Genomic DNA, 7,723 nt, shown 5'->3' with positions numbered 1-7,723 from the left:
GTTTGAAGTATTGCACTAAACACAATGAAAAATAAAGAAGAACCATGGGAGATTACTTTTTACTGTGATACACAATTTCCTGGAGAGACAAATTACTCATGCAGAGATTACTCGTGTCTCACAGTGAATCAAATAAACTAGTATCTATGCATATTTTTTTGCATTCATGAAATACCTTTTAAAAATATTTTTGGTATCTCTATGCTATACGGTTGAGTATGAGTTTCTCTCAAATTGTCACAAATCTCCAAAGTATTTTTCAATATATTGATTTTTAAAAATTCCAGTATAAGAGGATCCATGCAGTTCAAATCTGTGTTTTTTAAGGGTCAACTGTATTTATTATTTTTGCTCTTGAGTTGCTTGAGTGACTTATATATTCTGGTTATTAAACCCTCATCAGATGAAAAGTTTGTAAATGTTTTTCTCCCATTTTGAAGACTTCCTCTTCACTTTCTTTATAGTGAAATCATTGCAATATCTCTTGCATTGATTGTGTAGATATCATTGATCTACACAACAAATTATTAACTATAGTCTCTGTACTTTACTATCAAACATTAGATCTTATTCCTTCTATCTAACTGCATTTTTGTGCCCATCAACTCATCTCTCTTCTTCACCCCACCCTATATTCCTCAGTCTCTGGTGACAACCAATCAACTGTCAGCTTTCACTGTCAAGTTTCTGCTGTGCAGAAACTTTTTAGTTTGATGTAATCCTGTTTGTCTATTTTGGCTTTGGTTACCTGTACTTTTGAGGTTTTGCTCAAAAATGTTTTGCCAAGACCAATGTCCTGAAGCATTTTCTCACTATTTTCTAGTAGTTTCATAGTTTTACAGCTTACATTTAAGACTTTAATCCATTTGGATTCAATGTTTGTATAAAGGGAGAAAATGGGTCTAGCATGATTCTTCTGCATATGGTTAATCAGTTTTCTCAGCACCATCTATTGACGAGACTGCTGTTTCCCCAAACGTATGTTCTTACTGTCTGATATTGTTTAGATGTGTGTTCCTCCAAATCTCATGCTGAAATGTGATCTCCAATATTGGAGGTGGGGCCTAGTGGGAGGTATTGGATCATGGGGGCAGATCCATAAGGAGTGGCTTAGTGCCATCCTCTTGTTGATGAGTGAGTTCTCACTAATCTCAAGATCTAGTTGTTTAAAAGAGTCTAGAACCTCTCCCTTCTCTTTCTCTTGTTCCTATTCTCAGCATGTGATACTCTGGCTTCCTTTCACTTTCTGCCATAATTGGAAGCTTCCTGAGGCATCAGCAGGAGCAGATACCAGCACCATACTTCTCATACAGCCTATGGAAATGTGAACCAAAATAAACCTTTTTTATTTATAAATTAACCAGCCTCAGGTATTTCTTTATAGCAATGCAAGAATGAACTAACACAGCACATTTGTTGAAAATAAGGTGGCTGTAGGTATGTGGATTTGTATCTAGGTTCCCTATTCTGTTCCATTGGTCTGTGTGTCTGTTTTTATGCCAGTAGCATGCTCTTCTCGTTACTTTGGTGTTGTAATATATTTTTGAAGTCAGGTAGTATGATGTTTTCAGCTTTGTTCCTTTTGCTCAGGAGTGCTTTGTCTATTCAGGATTTTTTGTTGTTCCATAAAAATTTTAGAAATTATTTTTTCTATTTCTGTTAAGTACATCATTTGTATTTTGATAGGAATTACATTGAATTTGGAGATCATTTTGGTAGTATAAACATTTTAACAATATTATTTGAATATGAACATGGACTATCTTTTCATTTTTTTGTGTCCTCTTCAATTTTCAAAACCACCTTTTTATAGTTTTCTTTCTATAGATCTTTCACATCTTTGGCTAAATTTATTCTTAGATATATTATATTTCTTGTAGCTGTCTTAAATGAGATTGCTTTCTTAATTTCCTTTTCAGATTGTTTGCTATTGGTGTACAAAAATGCTACTGATTCTTCTTTGCTGATTTTGTGTTCTACAGCTTTATTAGATTTATTTCTGGTCGAACAATTTTTGGGTGTACTCTTTTTTTTTTTTTTTTTTTTTTGAGGCAGACTCGCTCTGTTGTCTAGGCTGCAGTGCAGTGGCATGATCTCAGCTCACTGCAGGCTCTGCCTCCTGGGTTCACGCCATTCTTCTGCGTCAGCCTCCTGAGTAGGTGGGACTACAGGCGCCCACCACCACACCCGGCTAATTTTTTTTGTACTTTTAGTAGAGACGGGGTTTCATCCTGTTAGCCAGGACGGTCTCGATCTCCTGACCTCGTTATCCACCTGCCTTGGCCTCCCAAAGTGCTGGGATTACAGGCGTGAGCCACCGCGCCTGGCACGGGTGTACTCTTTAGATTTTTCTAAATGTAAAATTATGTTGTCTGCAATCAAGGATAATTTGATTTTTTCCTTTTCCAATTTGGATGTCCTTTATTTCTATCTCTTGCCTAATTGTTTTGGCTAGGACTTCCAGTATATTGAATAAAAATGATGAAAGTGGGCATCTTTGTCTTGTTCCAAAACTTAGAGAAACAGCTTTCATTTTTTTCCTGTTCAGTGTGATGTAAGCTGTAAGTTTATCCTATATAGCCTTTACTGTATTGAGGTATGTTTCTTTCATACTCAGTTCATTGAAACTTTTTATCATAAAAATGTTGAATTTTTTTGAATAATTTTTCAGCATCTATTGAAATGATTACATGGTTTTTGCCCTTGATTCTGTTAATGTGATGTATCATGTTTATGCATTTACACATGTTGAATTATCCTTGACTCTCTACTTGATCCTGGTGATTGATCTTTTTAATATGTTTTTGTGATTGCTTTGCTATTATTTTGTTGAAGATTTTTACATCTATGTCCATCAAGAATCCTGGCCTGTAGTTTTATTTTATCTTTTTCTTTTTTTCTTTTTTTGACGGAGCCTCACTCTGTCGCCCAGGCTGGAGTGTAGTGGCGCGATCTCGTCTCACTGCAACCTCCGCCTCCTGGGTTCAAGCAATATTCCTGCCTCAGCCTCCCGAGTAGCTGGGACTACAGGCACCCACCACCACGCCTGGCTAATTTTTGTATTTTTTCAGTAAAGACGGGGTTTTGCCATGTTGGCCAGGCTGGTCTCAAACTCCTGACCTCAGGTGATCCGCCCACCTTGGCCTCCCAAAGTGTTGGGGTTACAGGCATGAGCCACCACGCCCCACCTTCTTTTTTCTTAAGTTCTATTTTGGTATTAGGATAAGGTTGGTCTTGTACAACAAGTGTAGAAATATTGTCTCCTCTTCTTTTTTTGGGGAATAGTTTGAATAAAATTTGTATTAGTTCTTATTTAAATGTTTGTAGAATTTGGTTGTGAAGCCATTAGGTCCTGGGCTTTTCTTTTCTGACAGACTTTTTATTACACTTTTGATCTTGTTACTTATGTTTTTTATTTATTCCTGGTTCAGTCTTGGGAGGTTGTATATGTCCAGGAATTTATTCAACCTAGAGGTTTTCCAATTTGTTGACATAGGGTTGTTTTTAATAGTCTCTAGTAGTCTTTTGTATTTCTGTGGTATCTGTTGTTACATCTTCTTTCTAATTTCTGATTTTATTTATTTTGGTCTTCCCTCTCTTTTTCTTAGTTTAGAAAGGATTTTCAATTATTTTTACCTTTTCAAAAACAGAACTTTTAATTTTGTTGATTTTTGTTGTATCTTTTAGTCTCGATTTTATTTATTCCTGCTCTGACCTTTATTGTTTATTTCCTTCAACTTATGTTGGATTTGGTTTCTTCTTGCTTTTCTACTTCCTTGAGGTGCATGGTTAGGTTATGTGCATTGTTAGTATTTTTTAAATTTGAAATCTTTCTAATTGTCTTCTTTATGCACCTATTGCTATAAAATTGCATTTTAGTACTGCATTGGCTGTATTCCATGCATTTTGGAGTGCTGTTTCTGTTTGTATTTGTTTCAAAACATTTTACAATTTCCAACTTAATTTTTTGTTTCATTCATTGATCATTCAGAAGCATGTTGCTTAATTTCCGTGTATTTTTTTTTTTTTGAGATGGAGTCTCACTCTGTCACCCAGGCTGGAGTGCAGTGGTGTGATCTCAGCTCACTGCAAGCTCCACCTCCCGAGTTCACACCATTCTCCTGCCTCAGCCTCTTGAGTAGCTGGGACTACAGGCGCCCGCCACCACGCCCGGCTAATTTTTGTATTCTTTTTTTTAGTAGAGACGGGGTTTCACCGTGTTAGCCGGGATGGTCTCGATCTGCTGACCTCATGATCCGCCCGCCTCGGCCTCCCAAAGTGCTGGGATTACAGGCGTGAGCCACCACGCGTGGCCAATTTCCGTGTATTTGTAGTGTCCTACATTCCTCTTGTTATTGAGTTTTAATTTTCCACTGTGGTCAGAATAAAACACTGTAATTATTTCAACTTCTTAAAAATGTGTTCAGACATTTTTTTGTGTCCTAACAAATACAGTATTCTGGAAAATGTTTTATGTGTTCATGAGAAGAATGTGTATTCTGACACAGTTAGATGAAATATTCTGTAAAAGTCAGCTAGATTCATTTGGTCTAGAGTATCATTTAACTCCTATGTTTCTTTGTTTTTATATCTCTGGATGATTTGTTTATTCTGTAAGGGGGTGTTGAAGTCCCCAACTATTATTATAATGCAATCTAGCTCAATCTTTAGATCTATTAACGTTTGCTCTATATTTTGGGTGCTCTGTTTTTGGGTGCACATATATTTACAGTTGCTACATCCTCTCAAACTGACCCCTTTATCATTATATAGTGACTTTTTTGTCTTTCTTTACAGTAATGATTTGAAGTCTATTTTATTTGGCATAAGCACTGCTATTCCTTCTCTTTTGGGGTCTCTATGTGTATGGAATACCTTTTTTTATCTCTTCACTTTCAGTTTCTGTCTTTATAAGAAAAGTGAGTTACTTGCAGGCAGCATATAATAGTTGGGCCTTGTTTTCTTTTCTTAATTAATTCAGCAACTCTGTATCTTTCAATTAGTGAATTTTGCCCCTTTACATTTAATGTTATTAGCAGGTAGGGACTTACTATTGCTATTTGTTAATTTTTATTTTATTTTCATTTTTTGGTTGTTTTGTAACTCTTGCTGCTTCTTCTTTTTTTTTAATTTTTTAAATTTTTCCTTACTGTCTTCCTTTGCAGTTATGTGATTTTTTTTTCTGGTATTATGTTTTAATTCATTGCTTTTTATGTTTAGTGTATCTGTTACGGGTTTTTGTTTTGTGGCTGCTACGAGGCTTACAGAAACATTTTATAGAAATTATAAGTTATTTTAAATAGATGATAATTTTGATCACACAAAAAAGAAACAGAGGAAAAACTAAAATGCTCAACACTTTAACCTCATCCTCTCAACATTTTGACTTTTTGTTGTCTCAATTTACAGCTTTTTATATTCCCTGTCTTAAGAGGTTGCTGTAGTTACTATTCTTTTCTATAGATTTGCCTTTCAGTCTCCCTACTAAAGATATCAGTGGATTACGTACCACAATTAGTATTAGAGTATTCTGAATGTATCTGTGAATCTACTTTTTTGAGTTAGTTTTATATCTTCGAAAGTTTTCTTTTTTCACATTGGTGTTCTTTTCTTTCAGATTGAAGAACTCCCTTTGGAATTTCTTATGAAATGGATCCAGTGATGATGAATTTCCTCAGATTTATTTGTCTGAGATATTATTTTATTTTATAATTAATATATTAATTACAATGAATTTGCTACAACTATTTTTCTATTCAATGGATCTTTTATATTTAAATATTTAAGTTGAAAGCTTCTATTTTTGCTTAATGAATACATTTATTTTTTATAATGCTCTCAATTTTTAAATTTTTACTTTATATTTTATTACCTAGCATGTCAGTTTTAAATAGTATCCTTTGCTTCCACCTATTTCCTTTATAACAATAAATTGACTTGTTCTACTTTTTCTTTCTTCTTACTTCTTCTGTATTTTACTACCATTCTTTTTACTATTTCAAAATATAGCCTTTACGTATTATTCTTTCTCCCCATGTCTTCACCTTTGTTTCAGACTTAGATCTAAAATTAAGTATATTAAATTCTCAACATCTGTTTGTTTCCTGAAATTTCCCATTATCTTTTGAAAACCTAAAATTTATCCTCTTACAGGTTCCTCAGAAATGTGATATTTTTCAAAATCGAAAGTGTTTAATTTCATGCGCGTCCGTGTGAAGAGACCACCAAACAGGCTTTGTGTGAGCAACATGGCTGTTTATCTCACCTGGGTGCAGGCGGGCTGAGTCTGAAAAGAGAGTCAGCGAAGGGAGATAAGGGTGGGGCTGTTTTATAGGATTTGGGTAGGTAAAGGAAAATTACAGTCAAAGGGGGTTTGTTCTCTGGCGGGTAGGAGTGGGGGTCACAAGGTGCTCAGTGGGCAGGAGTGGGGGTCGCAAGGTGCTCAGTGGGGGTGTTTTTGAGCCAGGATGAGTCAAGAAAAGGACTTTCACAAGGTAATGTCATCAGTTAAGGCAAGGACCGGCCATTTACACTTCTTTTGTGGTGGAATGTCATCAGTTAAGGTGGGGCAGGGCATATTCACTTCTTTTGTCATTCTTCAGTTACTTCAGGTCATCTGGGCATATAGGTGCAAGTCACAGGGGATGCGATGGCTTGGCTTGGGCTCAGAGGCCTGACATTCCTGCCTTCTTATATTAATAAGAAAAATAAAATAGTGTTGAAATGTTGGGGTGGCGAAAATTTTTGGGGGGTGGTATGGAGAGAGAATGGGCGATGTTTCTCAGTGCTGCTTCAAGCGGGATTAGGGGCGGTGTGCAAACCTAGAGTGGGAGAGATTAAGCTGAAGGGAGGTCTTGTGGTAAGGGGTGATATTGTGGGGATGTTAGAAGAAACATTTGTCATATAGAATGATTGGTGATGGCCTGGATACGGTTTTGTATGAATTGAAAAACTAAATGGAATATCAGAAGGAGAAAAACAGGTATAAAAGGTCTAAGAATTGGGATGACTCAGGATATCTGATTAGAGAGTGCTTAAGGAGATTCGGCTTAGTCCTGCCAGCAAAGATTATTTATTTACTTCAAGAGTTAAGAGTGGCAGTTTGGGGATAGCACCAGGAGATATCAGCTGTGATGGCTTGGAAAAACAGTGTAAACCGGCAGTGTAAACAAGAGCAGGGCATGTATGAGTAGTTGAGAACGGTGAATAGGAGTATGACTAGACAGAAGATACTAGGGATGACAAGTTTTTTCGGGCACAGTCTAAGTTGGTCCGGTGTCTGGAATCAGACTGGGGCCTAATAAAAAGGAGTGTCCATACAGGAGCTCAAATGGGCTGTAACCTGTAGCATTCTGAGGACAGGCCTGAATTCTGAGAAGGTAAAGTGGTAAAAGTATTGTCCAGTCCTTTTAAAGTTGGTGGCTGAGCTTGGTGAGGTGTGTTTTTAAAAGACCTTTAGTTCATTCTACTTTTCTTGAAGATGGAGGACCATAAGGGATATAAAGGTTTCACTGAACACTAAGAGCCTGAAAAACTGCTTGGCTGATTTGACTAATAAAGGCTCATCTGTTATCAGACTGTATTGAGATGGGAAGGCTAAAGTGAGGAATTATGTCTGATAGAAGGGAAGAAATGACTGTGGTGGCCTTCTCAGACCCTGTAGGAAAGGCCAGTACCTATCCAGTAACTAAAATACCTCCAGACTAAGAGGTATTTTAGTTAT

The 7,723-nt window shown here is 36.4% G+C and overlaps 1 annotated feature.

Moving 5' to 3' along the window:
• Positions 6,223-6,855: an enhancer, noted in NCBI's record as "OCT4-NANOG-H3K27ac hESC enhancer chr2:118041429-118042061 (GRCh37/hg19 assembly coordinates)". NCBI's record gives its function as "activates a minimal SCP1, AML or CMV promoter by ChIP-STARR-seq in primed H9 embryonic stem cells {active_cell/tissue: H9 hESC(primed)}" and the evidence as "EXISTENCE:reporter gene assay evidence [ECO:0000049][PMID:30033119]".

The sequence above is a fragment of the Homo sapiens genome, chromosome 2 (genome assembly GCF_000001405.40).
Source record: "Homo sapiens chromosome 2, GRCh38.p14 Primary Assembly".
Classification (NCBI taxonomy): domain Eukaryota; kingdom Metazoa; phylum Chordata; class Mammalia; order Primates; family Hominidae; genus Homo; species Homo sapiens.
The sequence above is the reverse complement of the archived record's forward strand: the minus strand, read 5'-3'. Positions and strand labels throughout refer to the sequence as shown.